The sequence below is a fragment of the Homo sapiens genome, chromosome 6 (assembly GCF_000001405.40).
Source record: "Homo sapiens chromosome 6, GRCh38.p14 Primary Assembly".
Taxonomy (NCBI): Eukaryota; Metazoa; Chordata; class Mammalia; order Primates; family Hominidae; genus Homo; species Homo sapiens.
The window spans coordinates 144933175-144953973 of record NC_000006.12 but is presented as its reverse complement, the minus strand read 5'-3'; the positions used below and the strand labels follow the sequence as shown (position 1 = coordinate 144953973).

Genomic DNA, 20799 nt, shown 5'->3' with positions numbered 1-20799 from the left:
CTACCCTTAGCTCAAAAACAGCGCTGCTTTCCTTAAACATCTGGAAATATGCCCCAGCAATGCTGAGGCTGCTGGCAGAGGTAAAAAGACCAATTCCCAAAACATAAAATGGTGGGTAAAACAAACTTATCAAGCATTAGCCAAGGGAAATTCTACTTTTTGTAGGTGTATAATAAATACAAGAGGGAGGGAGAAAGAGACATACACAATGGGGGAGGAAAGAGATTGGGCAATAGTGAAATGAGACTTTTGGAGGGAGGCAAAGTGAGAACTTTTAAAAAAAAAACACAACCATCCTTAGACTTGATCAGAAAAGCTGAGTGAGGTAGGAAGGTGTGTGCACACCTGCTTAGGCAAGGCAATACTTTGAAAATAATGAGCCAGTATTTTTTTTGGCCAGAAAAGGAACTCACCAAAAATAAAGTGGGAAATGTTTTAAATCTTGTTAATTCTGATAAACACATTCACTTTCACATGACTTGATTTTTTAAAAATAATTTCAAAGGCAGAGCAGAATTGATTGATGGTGAGCTGGCCTAGCCTGAATACTATAGGTAAGGGTCTGACTTCTGGGATGATTTTACTCAAACATTCTCAATGAAATCATTTATCGAATTCTCCAGTTGAGTTCCTACCATGTGCAAAGCACAGTGCCAATAGAGGAAATAATTAAGCAAAATACAAATGCTATAAACATCAGCTATGGGGAACTTGTAAAAAAAAGCTATTATATTAGGAATATTTAATATTTGCCTTATCATCTTCAGCAATTTCCAGTTTGCTATTTAAGAAAAATTTCCAGCTTGCAACCTTACCTCCTGATCATTCTAAATCAAGAGCTTTTGAATATATTTAACACTTTTTATTTTAAAGGGAGCTGGAAAGGAAATAGAGAAATGAGATCAACAGATAGATTCAGTAATTTACCATCAGAAGTTTCCCCAGAGCTGCCAGTAAATCCCTTGCAAAGTACACAATTAATATTTATGAGGGAGACATGTAGGTCTTACATCTGCCATTGCTTGGTAATTCACTTAATTTCTTTATGGTTCTGTTTTCTTAGCACTACGATAGAATCAATCTACCCCACTCCCTTGAGTGAGGGGGATGGGATTTGGTGTAAAAAAAGGTAAAGACTTGAAATTTTAAAAAAATAATCTGGGTTGGGTCATCCTTCCTGGATGGCAAAGATAAACCAGTTTGCACCTAGTAGAGGTTCTTGTAACTTGATCCAAGCTCAGGAAAGAGTCAAAGCCTCTTACAATAATGACAGAGTTTATTATTCTTCAAGGGCAGGGTGACTATTCTTTCTCCATATGATATTTGACTGTACAGTCAGTCGCCATATCCACGGGTTCCACATCCACAGATTCAACCAACCACAGAGAGAAAAAGAGAGAGAGAGAGAAACAAAGAAGGAAATAAGGAAAGGAAAGGAAAGTGGGAGGGAGGAAGGAAGGAAGAAAGGAAGGAAGGAAGGAAGGAAGGAAGGAAGGAAGGAAGGAAGGAAGAAAATACAGTAATTTAAAAGAATACAAACAAAAAATACAATATAACAATTATTTACATAGTATTTATGTTGTATTAGGTATTATAAGTCATCTAGAAATGACTTAAAATATGCAGAAGAATGTGCATAGGTTATATAAGTTGACAAAAAAAGCCAGAATCTGTAAAATATTTGAAGAGACTTATTCTGTGCCAAATATGAGTGATCACTGCCCAGGACACAGCCTCAGGAGATCCTGAGAACATGTGCCCCAAGTGGTTGGGTTACAGATTGGTTTTATACATTTTAGGGAGACAAAAGTTAGAAGCAAAGACATAAATCCATACATGTAAGGTACACATTGGCCTGGAAGGATGGGACACGTCAAAGTGGTGTGGCAGATGAGGGCTTCTAGGTCATAGGTGGATTCAAAGATTTTCTGATTTGCAATTGGTGAAAGTTAACCTTTGCCTAGAGAGTTGAAGTCGGCTTAAATAAATGCTTGAATTAAGATAAGGGGAGCTGTGGAAGCCAAGGTTCTTGTTATGTAGATGAAGCCTGCAGGTAGCAGGTTTCAGAGAGAATAGATGGTAAATGTCTCTTTTTGAAACTTAAATGTGTCAGACTCTCAGTTAAACCTCCTGGATCAGGAAAAGACCTAGAAAGGGAAGGAGATTCTCTACAGAATGCAAATTTCCCCCGCAAGAGATGACTTAACAGGGGCATTTCAAAAGATGTCAAAGAAAATATATTTTGGGGTAAAATAATTTCCTCCAAAACCTGCTATCTTTCACATGATGCTATATCAGAGTCAGGCTGGAGTTGGTTATCTTATTGCTACAAAAAGTCTGTTTTTCTTATGATCTTTATCTTAATGTTAGTGCTGGTCAGTTGTGCCTAAACTCCAAAGGGAAGAGGGTATAACAGGCAAGTCCAACCCTGTCTTCCAGTCATGGCCTGAACTAGTTTTTCAGATTTTCTTTAGGATCCTGTTGCCCAGGGGGTGGAGGAGTCCATTCAGTTGATTAGGAGCTTACAATTTTATTTTTTATTTATGTATACAAATACTGTGCCATTTAATATCAGGAAATTGAGCATATGGGGATTTTTATATCCATGAGCTGTGGATACTGAGGGATGATGGTATTATCCAGGAGAAAGTAATTTTGACTGTGACAGTGTGTTCTGGCATCCCAGGAAAACTTGTGAGGAAATTTCCCTGCCTATATCTGGTGGGGAGACTAAAGAGGATTTGAAATTCCCGTGTCCATCATCACTTGCAAGACTATAACTTACAGTCTCCCTCCTCAAAAGCTAATTAGTGTTGTGCTAAAGTTTCAAGAGGGAGAAATGGTGGTAGAAGAATCTCCACGTGGAGACTAATGGAGATTCTCAAGGAAAGGTGTTGGGGATGCTAGAAAAGTTGTTGAAGGGGGAGGTGGCCAAGAAAGGAGAGGGGACTGAGATGAAAGAGTGCAGGAGAAGGGTTTCATGTGCGTCACCCTACTCTGGAAGGCCAAGTTTTCAGGTAAAGCTACAATCTCCTCTGAAGTCTGAGCTTCTAGCAAAATTTGTTTCCAACTCCATCCTGATTGAGTATGTGTTGGGTTGGAGAAGACTCAGAAGGAATGGAAGGAGGAGGTGGCGCCCAGGGGAAAGACGATCACCTGTCATTCCTATTGCAGAGGTTTGATCACAGATAGTGAAACCACTTTTGCAAAATTATGACTGAGACAGTGAAAAAGATCTAATTTAGTGGACTCCATCTTGCTTCTAACCTCCAAGCTGTCCTTGTTCATTCCTGGGTGTAGGCTGAACTCACTTTGGGAGAAATATGGTTTATACTTTATAGTTTAAAACAAAGATGATAACAGCCCTTTCCCAAAGCAGACCTCCTTCTTGCCTGAGGACTAGATCGCCTTTGTAGAACTAACATTAGCCACAAGTTTAGAAATTATGGTTTAGGAGTCATGCAGCTGGAGGCTACAAGATTCTCATCCTCCCTAAACTGCTCCTAAGATCAGTGCTTGAGATATTTTGCAGACCCTGCACTTGATGGATCAGCTGGCACCACCCAGATTGATAAACTGGCTCATCTGATCTTGTGGTCCCCACCCAGGAACTGACTGAGCACAAGACAGCTTCAACTCCCTATGATTTTATCTCTGACCAATCAGCACTCCTGGCTCACAGGCTTTCCCCCAGCCACCAAGTTGTCCTTAAAAACTCTGCTCCCCGAATAGTCAGGGAGACTGATTTGAGTAATAATTAAACTCCAGTCTCCCACATAGCTGGCTCTGCATGAATTACTCTTTCTCTATTGCAATTCCCCTGTCTTGAGAAATCGGCTGTGTCTAGGCCGCGGACAAAGTGAACCCATTGGGAGGTTACAATAGAATGAAGAAGGACCTCCTCCATCTCTACCCCTACCTCACCCCTGTCCTGGGGATTTCTAGGCAGAGCTGTCAGTGACCTGTGGAGTAGGGAGATACACAGGCCTGCAACAGCAGAGAGACCTCACTGGCCCACATGGCTGCCTGCCTTGAGTAAGGAACAGTCTTTAAGACTGGGAACAATAAATCTTCAAAATACACTGTGAGTATCAAATTTGACAATTTAAATGAAAATACTTTTCTATCTATAAAGTACTATACAAATAAAAGTATTATTTTTAAGTATGTGCTATTAACTCAATTACATAGATCTTGACCCAAAGTGTTTGGTCTGTCCTTCTGTCTCTAATATCAAAGTAATTTTTTTAATGCCTACATATTAGCATTCTGGGTTGAAAGCCACCTTGAATCCAGTATAACCTCTCTATTGACTCTATTTACCACTTGGCTTATTCCCAAGGTAGTCTGGAACAGAGTGTGAATACACCTCTGTAGCCTGGAGTACAAATAAGAAGGCATTGAATTAATTCACTGAACTGTTTTGGAACATCTACTTTGTCCTAGGCAGTGTGGGAGATACCAAAGAGAAAAAATAAAAAGCAATTTGTACTCTAAGGAGATCTAAATCTAGGGGAAGAGCTAGACAACAATTCAGTGGAATTTAGGACAAGATGTCCTATAATAGGAGCATCACTCTTCTTAGAGACAAATCAAAGAGAAGCATTATATTCTAAGGAGCTGGCCTGGTACATTAACAGTGGGGTTAGCAAAACACCTTTTACAATATGCCTACAAAAAGGGAGTTTAAATTGATTGCCTAGTGATTCACACTGGTAGATCTCTAGATTTGTTATGAACTCTGGGTGTTGCCAAGAATATAAACAAGAATATGGTGGGCTGTGGGGTGTGAGCAGTAGAATAATAATAAACATGGAAATGCAGAGGACACATCTTAACCTTATAAAGGTAGTATCCCATGATCAACTAGAGTCTGGGCTCTAAATCATTCTACCACATTTGAATTCCAAGGTCTACTCCCTAATCACTATGTGATCTCCAGCAAGTTAATTTAACATTTCTTGCTTCCATTTTCTCATTTGTAAACTAAGATTAATAAAAGTACCTACTTCAAAGAATAGTTTCACAAATGAAAAAGAATATCCTGGAAAAACACTTAAAACAACTCTGGCAAAAAGTGAGGGCTCAGTAAATCCATTATCAGTGTTATGTTTTTCAGCTCCAGGAAAAGTTAAATGGCAAGAATTATTGGGAAGAAAATCAATTTCAGACAGGCAGGCCTCATGAAGTTTGCAATATCATGAACTGGTAAGTCATTGAGAATCTGAATAGCGCTAATGCTGTTTTTTGTTTCCAGGCCTCTCTCCCATGGGCTAATCCTTCCTCAGCTATAGATCTGTTTGCTTTCACCCAGCCTTTGCCACTACTGTGCCTCAGCTCTTCTCCCCAATTCTGGGTCTATGGCTTCTTTCTTGATTTCACTGCTGCTGGCTTTCCAGTTTCTGTGGGCTCATGCTGCTTCCTCCCTGTGTGGCACTTAATTTCTGCTACCATCACCTATGTATTGGTCTATTTTCACACTGCTATAAAGAAATACCTGAGACTGGGTAATTTATGAAGAAAAGAGGTTTAATTGACTCAGGGTTCTGCTGGCTTAACAGGAAGCATGGCTAGGAGGCCTCAGGAAACTTACAATCATGGCAGAAGGCAATGGAGAAGGAGGGCAAAAGTCAAGTCATCTGAAAATATCTAGATTTTGTTTATGTATGTGAAGTAATATATTTTACACACAATTGAATTCCTGTATCATGCCTAAATGTAAAATGAAAGAAAGAATACCTTTAAGTTTAAACCCATGGAGGCTGCCCCAGGACAACAAATCCATTTATCATAGAATGAACTTAAATTAAGAGAGCCAAGAGAGCAAAAATATGCTGTCTTCCCGTTAGAATATTTCAATACAACATGAAAATTCAACTGAGTCCAACTTCACAAGCACACATACAAAAAAGGTGGAGTATTCATTCTTCTCCCTTATGGTATGGACTATTATTGAATTTCTATTTTCTAAACTAAATAATGGAATTTTTACTTTCTAAAAGAATATATGGAAGGAAAAACGCTACCCATTTTTAAAAGAAAAATTTACATCTGCTAAAGCCACCCTTGGTAAAAGAAAACAAAATTTTTGTCTAACTGCCAGAGCTATTGACAGTAATTTTGAAATCTCAGAGAAGTTCTGCAAATGGCAAGTTTACTGTGTTTTCTGGGTGACACACAGGTGATCTCTGTACTTGCCAGCCCATGCGACCACTCACCTCAGCAGTCACTAAGGGACCTTTGCCAGTGAGCTTGGTTTTCTCTATATGAATTGCCAACCCCCTCCTCAAACAACCAGTAAACTAAACCTTTAATCTTGGGATTGCTGAGAAAGATTTGATAAAATGTGTTTGATAAATATTTACTCAGTGTCTACTTTATGATAAGCAGTATTCTGGCTCTGAGAATAAAGCAGAGAAGGAAACAGGCAAAATCTCTACCCTTGTGGAGTTTACATTCTAGTTACGGGACACAGAGAATAATAAAATAAGTAAGTAAAATATATGGAATGTTAGATGGGATAAGTGATATGAAGAGAATAAAGCAGGGAAGGAGGATAGAAAACGTTGAGTGAGAATGGTTGCAATTCTTCATAAGGCAATCAGGGAAGGACCTACTTAGATAATATTATACTTGTGTAAAGACCTACCTGAAGTTGATAAGAAAATGAGATGTGCATATTTGTGGAGAGAGTATTCCAGGCAGAGAGAAAAACAAGTACAAAGGACCTTTATAAATTATTAATAAAATGAAAGCTATTCTTCCATAAGGAGTTGCTTGGGATGAAAGAATCACATGCATACACAAAACGAAAATCTGTTTACAAACCTACTTCTCAAACCCTATAAAAATTTTTGCATCCTAAACATCAAAATACTAGGTGAATTTGGTTTTGGAATTTTTTTTATCCTGTGTCTACGTTTAACTAAAGAAAACTCAACTTGATAGAATACAGTAGGAGGCATAGTTGAAGAGTTAGTTACTGTATCTGTTAAATTTATGACAAGATTTCCCACCTCAAAAAAATAGACCTCAAATTGGATGACTTACTCAGTTGGAATTTTCTGGCTTTTAATTTTAGAGGGAAGAAAAAAATTAGGAGAAATAAGCTCATATTAATTATTAAAGGGGCAAAACTAAACTTTCAGATTATGCCCTTGGGTCTTTAATATTTATTCCTGTCTTTTGCAGTTTCTGTATTTGCAATTATAATTCTAGAAAATCAAAACTAATACTCATATGGAGGCATGGGAAAATTTCCAATGTTCAAGAAAACATAAATTATCTTCATAGTACTGAATTTACTAAACAAGAAGTATATACATGTTGATATCAGAAAGATCTCTATCTAATGTTGATACATTAATAAACACTAGTATATTGTATATTTATAAGCATGTAAAATATCATAATCTGTATCATGTCTCTTCATGAGTCTCAGAAGAGCTAATCACAGATATTACTAAGGGTCTTAGTCAGTTTGGCTGCTATTATGATTACCATAGACTGGGTGGCTTAAACAACAGAAATGTATTTCTCACTGTTATGGAGGATGGAAGTTCAAGATCAGGGTGTTCTAATGATCTTGACCTAGCATGGTCAGGTTCTGGTGAGGGCCCTTTTCCAGGTTTGCAGACAATCACTTTCTCGCTGTATCTCCACATAGCAAAGAGAAAGATCATCTCTTTCTCACATCTCTTCTTCTAAGAACACTAAGCCCATTCTGAGAGCTTCATTCTCATGACCTAATTACCTACCAAAGGTTCCACCTCTCATACCATAGCATTGGGGGTGAGGATATCAACAGGTGACACACAAACATTCAGTCCATGGCACTGAGATCCTGAATTCTAAGATGATAACAGCCTTTTCTTCCTCCTCACAAAGACAGACTTGGGTCTCCAAGTGGTGGGATGAGGAAGCATCTCTGATGTTTGCCTCCTTCAGCAGATGGAAGAGTTCTACCTTTATCAAATTTAGGAACAGAAACTCTTCTCCTCAGAACTCCAAGAGGCTTAGCAAACAAAACACTAGGATATGAACCTAAAAGTATTAGCTATTCAGAAGGTGGCACATTCTGGATATCTACCCTTCATACTAAATTATGAACATAGAACAGCCCTGCTTTTGGAATATGATGGTGCCCCCTTTTTTATGGTGTCACTTAGAAGGATACTAGACCACATCCAAGATCCTTTGGAGGGAGAGAAATGAATTCATAATTATAATACACTGATGGATGAGGCAAGAGGGAAACGTCTTTCAGCTTGCTCTGAAATGGTGAGTTTCTTACTCTCCGAAGCATGAGGACCTAATTCTCCTTTCAATTTTATTTTGCTAAAGTTTTACTATTGCCTGTTTCCATTAAAAAAAATCATAAAGTCCCTTTGTTAAGCTCAAAATACCTTCAGAGAATCTTCCAGCAATGCATGTTTGGTATACCATTCCCATAGGAAACTAAAATGACTAAGGTCATGGTTACAAATAATTCAATCTTCAGAAAGTATTTCTTAACCACCTACTTTGTGCCAGAGCCTCTGCTAGGAAAAAAAGCTAGAGCAGAGTCTAGGATAGAAACAGCTCCTACCCTCATGGAGTCTGTAGGCTCATCTAGGAGGATCTAGCAGAATGATTACAACTGAGATGATGGGTTTGAAAATGCAAAGGGTGCAATAATTACAAAACTTCAGGCACCTGACTTTCAGGGATATCAGGCAAGGAGTTTCCTCTCAAAGTGCCAATTAACCTGATAGGTGAAGAATGAGCAGAAATTAATCTTGGTCTTAGGAGAATGAGGGGAGGAGTGTGCCAGGGAAAGAGGCTTCCAACAGAGGGATGAGCAGTTAGTGCCATTCAAGCACCAAAGAGAATGTCTTTTGTGACTTGAACGCTGTAAGAAGGGCAGCAGTCAGGTCCTGTAGGACTTCAGAGGCCCATGGAAGATTCTGAACATTACTGTAAGAGTGCTGGGAGGCTTTAAGGGTTTTAAGCAGGAGAATTAAATGACCAGGTTTTAAAAGTTTGAAAGATTGCTCTGTGTGTGCATTAGTCCGTTTTCATGCTGCAGATAAAGACATGCCTGAGACTGGGTAATTTATAAAGAAAAAGAGGTTTAATGGACTCACAGTTCCATGTGGCTGGGGATGCTTCACAATCATGGTGGAAGCCAAAAGGCACGTCTTACATGGTGGCAGACAAGAGAGAATGAGAACCAAACCAAAGGGGTTTCCTCTTATAAAACCATCAGATCTCGTGAGACTTATTCACTACCATGAGAACAGTATGGGGGAAACCATCCCCATGATTCAGTTATCTCCCACCAGGTCCCTCCTACAACACGTGGGAATTATGGGAACTACAATTCAAGATGAGATTTTGGTGGGGATATAGCCAAACCATATCAGTGTGCAATCTGAAATTTGTCATTAAAGCTTAGAGAAAACAAACAAGCATAAAATGCAGTCTCACCCCAGCCTGCATATGAGAGATTGGGTACATATGGGTGCTCATGACAGGGCAGCCTTTCCTAGCTGTTAGGAAAGCAACTTCTAAACATACGCTCTTGTAACTGCCCACAGAGTCATGGCCGGGCACGGCTCAATGTCTCACAAGAACAGAAATCTTACGTGACCTTCATTGACATTGACTGGCAGTGTGGATGTAATAAAATTCTCCTCAGAGGTTTTAATGGTCTGTTATATAGCTCAGGTCATAGTCCATCTTGCTAATAACTTTGTCAAAAAGCAAGCACCAATATATCATCAAAAAGACTGTTTTCCTTTCCTTCAGTATTTGAAGAGTGCTGATTTCCTCCAAGCTCAGAGGCTAATGATTGGTTGTGGCATTAATTAGAGAGCATGTTTGGGAACTTCATGTTGCACTCTGGTTAATATACTGTCTGAGGGAAGAGGTAATATTCTTTTTTTTCCATTAACCCCTAATGCCTTCTTGTCTCACCCCTACTCCTGGATTCAGCAGGATACCAAAAAGCCTCGGGCTATTCCAGATTTAGTAATAATCCCAAAATTCAGCCAATAGTCTCTGACATGTGGCCTCAATCTGCATTTCCCAGATTCAAACTTGCTTAACTCCATCTAGAACTCACCAGCCCACCTTTCAGAACACCTGAGAAAAAGGTCTGTGTTTTGTCTTCCAAGATATAAATGTCCTAGGAAGGTGTTCACCAAGCTTGAGTTCTACATGTTCTCTTGGGGCCCAAGGTCAGGATGAGGCAGAGGTTTGCTGAGTCCTTCCTTCATGGAGCATGCGTCTGCACAGTCAGGGATCATGACAAAGACAGATCAAGTTTAAAGTCTTTTTTGGCTCTGGGACTCCATTTCACCTAGCCAGCCTCCCACCTTAAACATTTTTATGTTATCAGATCAGAGAGAAGAACTCTGAGTGGATAGCTTTGAGATATCAAGACTTTCCAAAATGATCTTCACAGGGGTCTGCTATACCGGATAAATGAAAAATCAACTCAAGAATAGGCTTCTCCCCAGGAGGATGAGAGCCAAGGCCATTTAATATATGAAGGTTGAAATGACACTTTGCAGTCACTTCTAAATTCACATCTTCATTCCACTCTTTTCTTCCCTTTATCCATCCACGACCTTACATTAGAAGAATGCACTGCCTTTGCAAAAGACCTCTGTTTTTTAAAAAAAAATGTATAGTTTCTTAAAGAGTAATTTTAGATTTATAGAAAAATTGAACAGAAAAAAAAACGCCAGAGACTTCCCATATTATCCTAAGCTACCCGCCTTCACCAATTTCCCCTATTGTTAACATCTTGCATTAGTATGGTTCATTTGTTACTTTCAGGAAATAATATTGATACATTATTATTAATTAAAGTTCATAGATTACATTAGGATTTACTCTGTGTAGTAGAGTTCTATGGGTTTTGGCAAATGCGTAATGTCATGTATCTACCATTATACTATGATATGAAATACTTTCACTGCTCTAAATATCCCCTGTGCTTCATCAATCCTTCCCTCCATCCATTATGGCTGAAGTAGAGACAACACAGAGGAGAGCAGTAGGGGACGAAGAGAGAGTTAGTGAGGAGCCAGGCTATCCCAGCCCTCAGAGGCCATTGAAAGGACTTTGGCTTTGAAATAAGGAGCCATTGCAAGCTCTTGAGCAGAGGAGTGACATCATCCGGATTATGTCTTCACAAGATCTGCCACCTGTGGAGAATAGACTGAAAGGGGGCAAAGGACAGAGGCAAGGCCCAGTTAGAAACAATCAAAATAACCCAGGTGAGAATTGATGGTGAGCTGGTCTAGAGTGATGAGTATAAAGATAGTGAGAAGTAGTTAAATATTTTTCAGGCATTCTGTATTTGCCATCTGTGCTATCACTTCACATTAGCAAATAACAAAATTAATTAATAAACAAATAAATATATTGAAATGTTGCTAATAGGCCCGATTATGATACACAACTGCTGGATAACATAGTAGTAGGCTCACCCAAGGAATGTCCAAGGTTTCCAAACTCAATAGTATGACAACCTGCCAGAACCTCTGACACCCCTGCCTGGGGGAGTTAAGAGTTTTAGGAGTTTGGGTTTGGCCACAGAAGGCACCAGAGAGATAGACAGAGAATGTGGAAGTTGTGAGACTGCTGTGAAAGTGTCTATGGGGCCATTCTCTCTCCAAAGTTTGATTATGCTTTCAGATCATCAAGCCCTCTCCTGGGCCATTGTGAGGTGATTGCTATGAGTGCAATTCGGAGACAGGTCAAAGGCTGCAGGTATCACATAGATACTGTCAGTTTGGGCTTGGAGGCTGGAATCTTGGGAGAAAATGTAGGATGTGGAAAACACAGTACCTTATTCTACTCCCTATTAAAGTGCATTATCTGGCCTTCTGGGAGAGTCACGCACATCGTTTCTCATTTCTGTTTCTTTAATATGACGAAGGTCTTTGCTCTGTGTGAAGTCCATTTCTTTTATGTCTTTTTCTCCTAAAACACATTGTTTCAATCATCAACACTTTTAAAATGTCTCTTCTCAAAGTCAAAAGGTGTTTTTCAGCTATCTCAGACAGAGAGTTTCCACGCCCTGCAGCTCTTATGAGATGGGAGAACTTTCTTCCATGTGTTGGGTCACCGAATACTCTCCCTGGCAGACCTAATCTAATCCAGTCCACTGAGGCCCTAAACTAACCAGCCAGTTGTCATCACTAATTAAAGAGATCATTTTAAAGTCATCTCATGAATGATTCACAGACACATCTCAGTGTCCTTCGTATTTCTGATGGCATTGGATCACAGAAGTAAATGTACTTGAAAAATATCCCAGGGCTAACCAGTAACTACTTCAACCAATATTTCCTATTTAATTGTCTTTGGCCCTGTCAGGGGCCTTGAATTCTTGAAGATTTTTCCCCCATTTCAAACAGTTTGCTTCTTAATAGATCATCCCTTCACCATTTTTTCCCTAAATCCCATGATTTCTGCTTTATTATTTCTATGTTCCTGAATTCTATGGTACATCTTTCCAAACCTTTTACCTAAGATTAACATGTCATAATTGGCCATCATTAAAGACTTTTACAAAATAGTTTCTAAAAGTATTTTTTAAACCTCATCATCAATTCTAAGGTCAATGAACCAAGCCCATAAGGGGTTATTAGACAACTGAAGAGAAATTCCTGAAAATCATGATCCACTGGGTTTCCATAATTTTTTCTTAGTCATAATCCAGAAGGTAAAACAATCATTTGGCATCAAGGCTGACAGTTTAATTTCAGCACTTTCTTCCAAGAATAACCTCAAGATTCCAGCCTGTTTATTTCTAATGCTGGAAGACAGCAGCGACTAGAAAGACCCTTCCTTTACTTGTTTTGAATTCCGTACTTCTCAAAAAGCAACTCTACAATGAAAGTAAGAGTGCCATCAGCTGCTGTTTGTCAGGCTTCAGCTTGACTCAGCCTGGGCTGACAGAGGGGTTAGCACTCCGGGTAATCCCTTCCAGCTTACCTGATTTCCAGTGCTAAAAGGAATCACTACAGGCCTTTGGTATACTCTGCCTCAAATAAAAGTAAACATTTGCTTCCTGAACTAAGTCTTTTTGATTTGGTCCTTGATGTCTCGGGTGGATGCCAGGGCCAGAGACAGAACAGACCATGCTAGGGAAGCTCAGGTGCTTTGCTCAGCAGTCTTTCCTCATCAGCACTGTCTGTGTTGTGATTCTAGAATGTGTATTTGACAGTTTTTACAGGCATGGCAGGACAAGCAAGAAATAAATGAAAAAAGAAGGATACAATTTTATTAATATGCATTAAATACATAAACTATCTTGAATTATCAATACTGATAGTATTCGTCAGCCCTTCTTTAGGGTATAGTTATGTCAAATCTACAAAGAGCGTGAGATGGAACAAAATAATAACAAATGGCTTTTTTTCCTCAAGTCAGCCAGCCAGGGATTTTTTGTCCCAGAATTAGATCTCTGGAATTATGGAGCTTTGGGCTGTAACTTTATCAACTAGACCAACGAGCTTTCCAGATTCTATAGAAGTAGCTGGTAGAAAATAAGCCTGCATGACAGGCTAATAGTTTGTGAAAAATAAGCACCCAACAAAGGGCTTCAGTTGCAGGAGGACAGCCACCACAGAGAGAGGCAATGGAGAAAAGCAGGTAAGGATAGGAAGAGATTTAGTTAAAGAGCGCAATTTCTTCTACCATTGCTGAACCAAAAAGACCATTTGAATCTGTTAAAATAAAATTAATGGTTCCTTAATCAAAACCTAAAGCAATGTTTTTAGGTTTCAGCTGAACTTTTCAAATGCTTTGCTCACTCTTCTGACTCATCCCCTTCTCCTGCACTCAAACATGCTTCTAATATGGAACTACAGTCTGGGGATGGTTTCTTTATGCTGTGGCACTCTTAGTCTGGAGATTATTATGCACATGTGTCTGGTTAAAGAACAAATATTTGGGGTCAAAGTCAATCATATCTTTTTATACTCCCTCCAAATGAGTTCAACTGATGAGAAACTGAGACTTAGGGGAGTTAAGTGATTGGTCTAAGTTTACACAGCCACTAAGAGCCAGGATCAAACTTAAGGCTAGCTCTAGTTGAGTTCAAGTCTCAGATGTAGCAGTGTGTCTTTTGCAAAGTCTGGTCAATCAATATCCTCTGGGTGATAAGAGAGTAAATAAAGTAAAAAAATGATTATAATAACTCTAAAACACTAGAACTTTGAAAAGAGCCTTTCCAGAATACCCAATTTCATTTTCCCATTTTTTAAAAAAGATATGGGGATGGGGTCCAGGATTGGATAGAAGAAGAATAAGCATTTCTTTTTATTTCACCAACAGCTAAGAGATCTCCTTTGGCAAGTCACTTAATCTCACGCGTTTTGGTTTCTCTAAAGAAAATGAAGACACAGTACTGAACATTCTGTTACATTTCCCAATTAGTTTAAGAACCTCAGATGACCTGCACTGCATGAGAATGGTGACTAGAATTGAAAACAAGGCATTCCAAAATTCTTATTTGTTTTTAAAATACATGAATAAGTAGAAAAAGCAATCACAGGGCGTCACCTTTCCCACTTGAACTGATGCCTCAATACTCACTGAAGGGTCTTAGCACAGAGACCCAGGGAAAGATCTAGAAGTTCACCTATACCCTGACTCCTTTCCCAGTTTCCTCAAGAGATGAAATTTGGGGCCTGTTGAAAGGCAGGCTGTCAGTCCTGACCCCTACACAAAATCTGAGTGAAAATGGCTGATGAGAGGAGAAAGACGCTTGCTATCTAGACACAGAGCAATTTATGACCATTAATTCAATTATACTAAAGAAATATTGATTGAGTGCCTCCTAAGTGGTGGGTACTGTGCTCTGTGCTACGTATACAGTTATGAACAAGATGAGGTTTTCCCCCAGGAACCTTACAGAAAGGCCGACTGAATTCCAAATTGACACAATGATGTCAACAGAATAGAGTGAGGGCAAAAGGAGGAAGAAAAGAGTTCTGCTGGCTGGGCACGGTGGCTCATACCTGTAATCCTAGCACTTTGGGAGGCTGAGGCGGGTAGATCACCTGAGGTCAGGAGCTTGAGACCAGTCTGGTCAACATGGCGAAACCCTGTTGCTACTAAAAATACAAAAATTAACTGGGCATGGTAGCACGTGCCTGTAATCCCAGCTACTCTGGCAGCTGAGGCAAGAGAATCACTTGAACCCGGGGGGTGGAGGTTGCAGTGAGCCAAGATCACACCACTTCACTCCAGCCTGGGTGTAAGAGTGAAAGTCTCTCAAAAAAAAAAAAAAAAATTCTGCTAGAGAAGAGAACATCCTGAGACTTGAAAGGTGAGCAGTGAGTAGGGAAAAGACAGAGAAGCAGTGGGGACAACATGCACAAACGGTCAAGAGCATGAAACACACCGTAGATTTGAGGAAAAAGAAATAATTCCATGACAATAAAAAGAGCTGGGTAGTATTGAGGAGAAAGGACACAAAGCAGTGTCTGAAGAGGTAACTCTGAGGAGGGGCATAGAGATGATATCATGAAAGACTTACCAGCCTGGCAAGAAATGTAAGCTTTAATGTGAAAGCCATAGGAATTAAAGATATTTCATCAGGAAAGGGCATACAAAAACATTTGGCCTGGCAGAGTTGTGGAAACAAATAGAGTGTAGCAATTGTCCATGCAGGTTTTGGGGGTCAAGACTGAGACTATAATAGAAGGGATTGAAAAGTGTGGGCTAGACATCAAGATGTTAAAATTTACATGATTTAGAAATCAATTGAATGTGGGTAGATGGAGGAGAAGTAAATTAGATAGGTGCGAGTTCATGTCAGGTGCCCGGCTTGGATAGCAAAATGATAGATGATGCCAGTCACCAAGCTAGGCAAGACATTTGTCTATCAGCTTATATGCATGTGTGCTGGGATGAGACAATGAGCGTTAGACACATCGTGTGTGTGGTGCTAGTGGAATGGAAATCTGAGTGAAGATGTCCAGGGTCTTGAACACACAGAGGCCCAGGTTATTATGGGTCTGCAGTTAAAACTTTGAGATTAAGTGATATCATTTAGGGAGAAAATATAGAATAAAAGGATCAAAATCCGAAGACGAAATGCTCAGAAATAAACAGAAACAAAGTATCAAAAAAGAAGAAAGATATCCAGGGGAGAAGGGTGATATGGTTTGGCTGTGTCCTCACCGAGATCTCATCTTGAATTGTAACTCCCACAATTCCCATGTGTCATGGGAGGTACCCAGTGGGAGGTAATTGAATCATGGGGGCAGGTCTTTCTTGTGCTGTTCTTGTGATAGTGAATAAGTCTCATGAGATCTGATGGTTTTATAAAGAGGAGGTCCCCTACACAAGCTCTCTCTCTCTCTCTGTTTGTGTGCTACCATCCATGTAAGACGTGACTTCCTCCTCCTTGCCTTCCACCATGGTTGTAAGGCCTCCCCAGCCACATGGAACTGTAACTCCATTAAACCTCTTTCTTTTGTAAATTGCCCAGTCTTGGGTATGTCTTTATCAGCAGCATGAAAACTGACAAATACAAAGGGTATCCTAGAAGTCAAAGGAGAAAAGGATCTACAGGAGGAAGGGGCCATCAACAGTATCAAATCTCACAAAGCAGATGAGAAAACATCAATGTGTCTGTCAATTAGAAGGCGTGAACATCCATTTCTAGGAATGTAAGGAGTTGATGGGCTCTGAATAAATGAAGGCAGAAAGTGCGGACTGCTTTTTCAATATTCTTGGTTGTAATGGGGTGCCTTGCTACAGGGCTTTGGCTGAAGAAATATAGAGGCCTAGCAGAGGAGTTCATTTACAATGAGCTTTCTTATGTTCACAAGGTGTTGAGAAGTCAGTGAAGAGGAAAAAGTTTAAAAATACTAAAGAGGAGTAAATATAGAAGTGATAGGAGAGGATGAATGAACTTGAGATCATCTGTAAATTGAAGCTTCTTTCTCTAAGGCTACAGAGGAAGAAGTGAAGATGTGAGTCAGCCTGGAGTTCATCCCACTTCAACTTCAATTATCTTTGGGACGTGGACAACAGCCTCGGCAGCTAAAAGAAGAAAGTGCAGGGGTGGAATAAGAAACTTGATCAGAGCAGTTAAAATCCATGATCCTTCTGGGGTGAATGGCAGAGGAAACTGACCAGAGGCAGACAAAGGTCTTGTTGAGTAGTTTAAATGGCCCATCTGAAGCCAAAGACCATTAAAATGATCCTGGTACCAAGAATCCAAATGTGTTATTTTCTCTACTATTCGTTAATTCATCTGTAGAAGGAGAAAGAAAACCAGTTAGATTAGAATGATTACAAGATTTGTGTGGTAGAAAAATGGAGGAAACCATTGAAAACAGGGAAGAATTGATTGAAGTAACTAATTGTGAAGTCTGCTCTGAAGTGGGAAGAATGTTAAATCATAAAAAGAACAAACAAGGAGAAAAAAGAAAGGATTAAGGAACTAGAAATCTCAATGATGGTGAAGAACAGGCAAGTGTACTGGACATGTAACATGCAGGAGGAATAGAATGAGTTCATAAAAGGAACTTTACTTTTGGCTCCCACTTACCCTTTAACCTTGCTGGGTAGGGGCAGAGGGTAGAATGTCTTCTGTTTCTGAATGAGCGGGTTCTCAACTCCCCCTCTGACCCTTTTCAGGTAGCAAAAATTTCTTCAGATCCTTTAATTCACAAACAATTCAGTAATAAAAAATATCTGGTTCAACATTAACCCACAATTCAATCCAGCTTGGAAGGTAAGCCCTATCACCCTATCCCCTCCTCACCCTAGGTTAGGGCCAGGCATAGGTAGGCTGCCTGCCACTTGGGGAGGAGGATGGTTTCTTCTCCCCACTGAACTGACTGCTATTTCAGACTTTGCCAGAATGGAAGCAGAGGGTGGGAGGAGAGGTAAGGGATACTCGAAAGTTCTTGACTACTTCTACTTTAGCTTGCCTTTATTGTCTCTGAATCTAGCAAATATTTAAAGCTCATTCTTATCTCCAAGGGCTGTTTTGTGCCTTTGTTAGAGACTCCCCTTCAGGAACCCCCTGACTGCAATTATCTTGATTCACAGAGTCCTCTTCTCTAGCTAACCACCCCTGATTCACTCTGAGTTTCTGTCCCTGCTTTTTGTTGCTTGGCCCCTTATCTGGCAGGCCAGAGTCATCTTTAGAGAAGAAAAGAGAGAGAAAATGTGTGTGTGTATGTGTATATATACACATGCATACACACACACACATATGTGTGTGTATATGTAATAAATATATATGTATATCTGTTTTATGCATATACACTTGCATATTTAATTTCTTCCTATGGATTTCAGTCACTGTCCAGTATCAGTTCTTTCAGCCTGAAAGAGTTTCTTAAGTACTTCAAGTAGGACAGATCTGCCAGCAACTAATTCCCTCAGTTTTTGCTTATCTTGTAATGTCTTTGTTTCACCTTCAATTTTAAAAAAGGAGAATGAACAGGGAGAAAAAACATCATTGAATACATCATTGGGTATAGGATCCTTGGTGAATAGTTTTGCTACATTCAGCACTTTGAATACATCATTCCACTGCCTTCTGGACCCCATTGTTTTGAAGGAGAAGTCAATCATTCATTGTTTGTCATTCCCTTGTATATAATGAGTCACTTTTTTCTTTTTTTTTTTTTTTTTTTTTTTTGCTGTTTTCAGTATTTTCTCTTTGTTTTTAACATTCATCAATTTCACTATGATGTCTAGAAGTGGGTCTTTTTTGTTTATTTTACTTGGTATTTGTTCAGCTTCTTGGATTTGTAAATTGTTTTCATTAAATTTGAGAAGTTTCAAGGCATTTACTTTTTCTTTTACTTTTCTTTTTTTTTTTTTTTTTTTTTTGAGACAGGGTCTGACTTTGTCTCCCAGGCTTCAGTGCACAATCTTGGCTCAGTACAACCTCCATCTGTGGGGCTCAAGCAATCCTCCTACCTCAGCTTCCTGAGTAGCTGGGACTATAGGCACATGACACTATGCCTGGCTAATTTTTGCAGGGTGTTTTGTTTTTGTTTTTTTCTTTTTTTTGGTATAGACAGGGTTTCATCATGTTGCCCAAGCTGGTCTCAAACTCCTGGGCTCAAGTAATCCACCCACCTCAATCTTCTAAAGTGCTGAGATTACAGGCATGAGCCAGTGTGCCTGGCCGCCATTATTTCTGAAAACATTTTTTCTTTATTTTCTCTCTTTCTGTGAGACCTATTATATATATAGATACACTTGATGTTGCCCCTCAGGACTCTAATACTCTGTTAATTTGTCTTCTCTCTTTTTTCCCTCTGTTCTTCAGATATATCCAACTTCAAGTTTGCTATTGTTTCTTTTGCCATCTCAAATCTGCTCTTGAGTCCATCTAGTGAATTTCTTATTTCAGTTATTGATCTTTTTAACTCTAGAATTTTTATTTGGCCTTTTTAGAGCCTCTATTTCTCTCATGAGGTTCCCTATTTTTTGAGTTATTGTCACAATATTTTTCTTTACTTCTTTGAGCATATCTGTGAGAGATGCCTTGAAGCATTTTTCTACTAAAGCTTACACTTAGACCTATTCTGAGTCTGTTTTTATAAACTGGGTTTTGGGTTTTATTTTAGTATGAATCACACTTCTCTGTTTCTGTGCATGTCTTATAATTGTAGCAAGTATAGATTCTGTTTTATTTTTCCAAGTGTTACTTTTTTATTAATTTGCTTGGACATAAACTCCAATGTCTGTCTCCCCAAAAATATGTACCTACTGATGTCTCCATTCTGTATTCTTTTCTTTTTATTTTTCTATTTTACCCTGGCTTCCTAGGTGTTATTCCTATAACTGCACAGTTTAGTAATCAGACAATAATGTAGATTGAGGTTGTGTTCAAACCCCTCAAGCCCATAAGTTTTCCTCCTTCTGTTCATTGATCTGTACATGGGCTGGGAAGTACATTCCAAGTTGCAGCAAGTTTTCAAGTGTCCCTTAACTTATACTTTACGCTAGGATAAAGCTAGGATAAATGTAGTTTCCCAGTAGGCCGAGGATATATGAAAAGTATATCTTAGGACTTTCATAGCTCTTTCTCTTCCAAGATCTTCTTATTAAATTTTTACTAGTTCACTGCTCACCCTAACCAGGACCACAAACCTAGATAAGCAAAGCTACAGGTCCTCCCCATTTATTTTCTACCAAGTTCTTTAGTTTTAGCTGACACAGCTATGGGGTTTTGTCTTTTTTCTCAAATTGATTCTGTCCCCTCTGGCAATAAAGCTGCTGGGTTTTTTAGACAGCACCACACTGGTAAAACTATACTTCTTGTCAACTGTGCTGGGGCAGGAGGGAGGATGGGAGCAGCCCAAGCAAAAGGGCATAGATGTCTGCCTTTCCTTCCCAAAGCACTCCAGGTTTTTAAGAATACATGATTCTAAAATTGTGGTTTACACACTCTGGGCTCTATGGTCAGTCCAGTGCCTGGAAATATTTCATCCTTTTGACAATTTTGTTCAGTTTGGCTAAAAGGATTCACCAATGTTTTTATGCTACCATAACTGAAAATCCCTCCAAGACAGTCACTTTTAAAATGAGTTCAGGCTGACATTACTAGTGTGGTTCCCATACCTGGTCCTTAGGAATCATGCCCACTGGTCTGCAGTTGGAAGGAAGGCAATGCTATCACAGACAGTTCACTCCTAAACCACAAGCTACTGCAGCCTTCTCAAGCATGAGCCAAGCCCCATTAATCTGATTCAAAACCTACAGAGATTGCATATCAATTTCTCAATGTAATCCCATTGGAGTTTTTCATGC

General features: G+C 39.4%; 1 annotated feature.

The window, feature by feature from the left end:
- Positions 1653–2320: an enhancer, noted in NCBI's record as "OCT4-NANOG-H3K27ac hESC enhancer chr6:145272790-145273457 (GRCh37/hg19 assembly coordinates)". NCBI's record gives its function as "activates a minimal SCP1, AML or CMV promoter by ChIP-STARR-seq in primed H9 embryonic stem cells {active_cell/tissue: H9 hESC(primed)}" and the evidence as "EXISTENCE:reporter gene assay evidence [ECO:0000049][PMID:30033119]".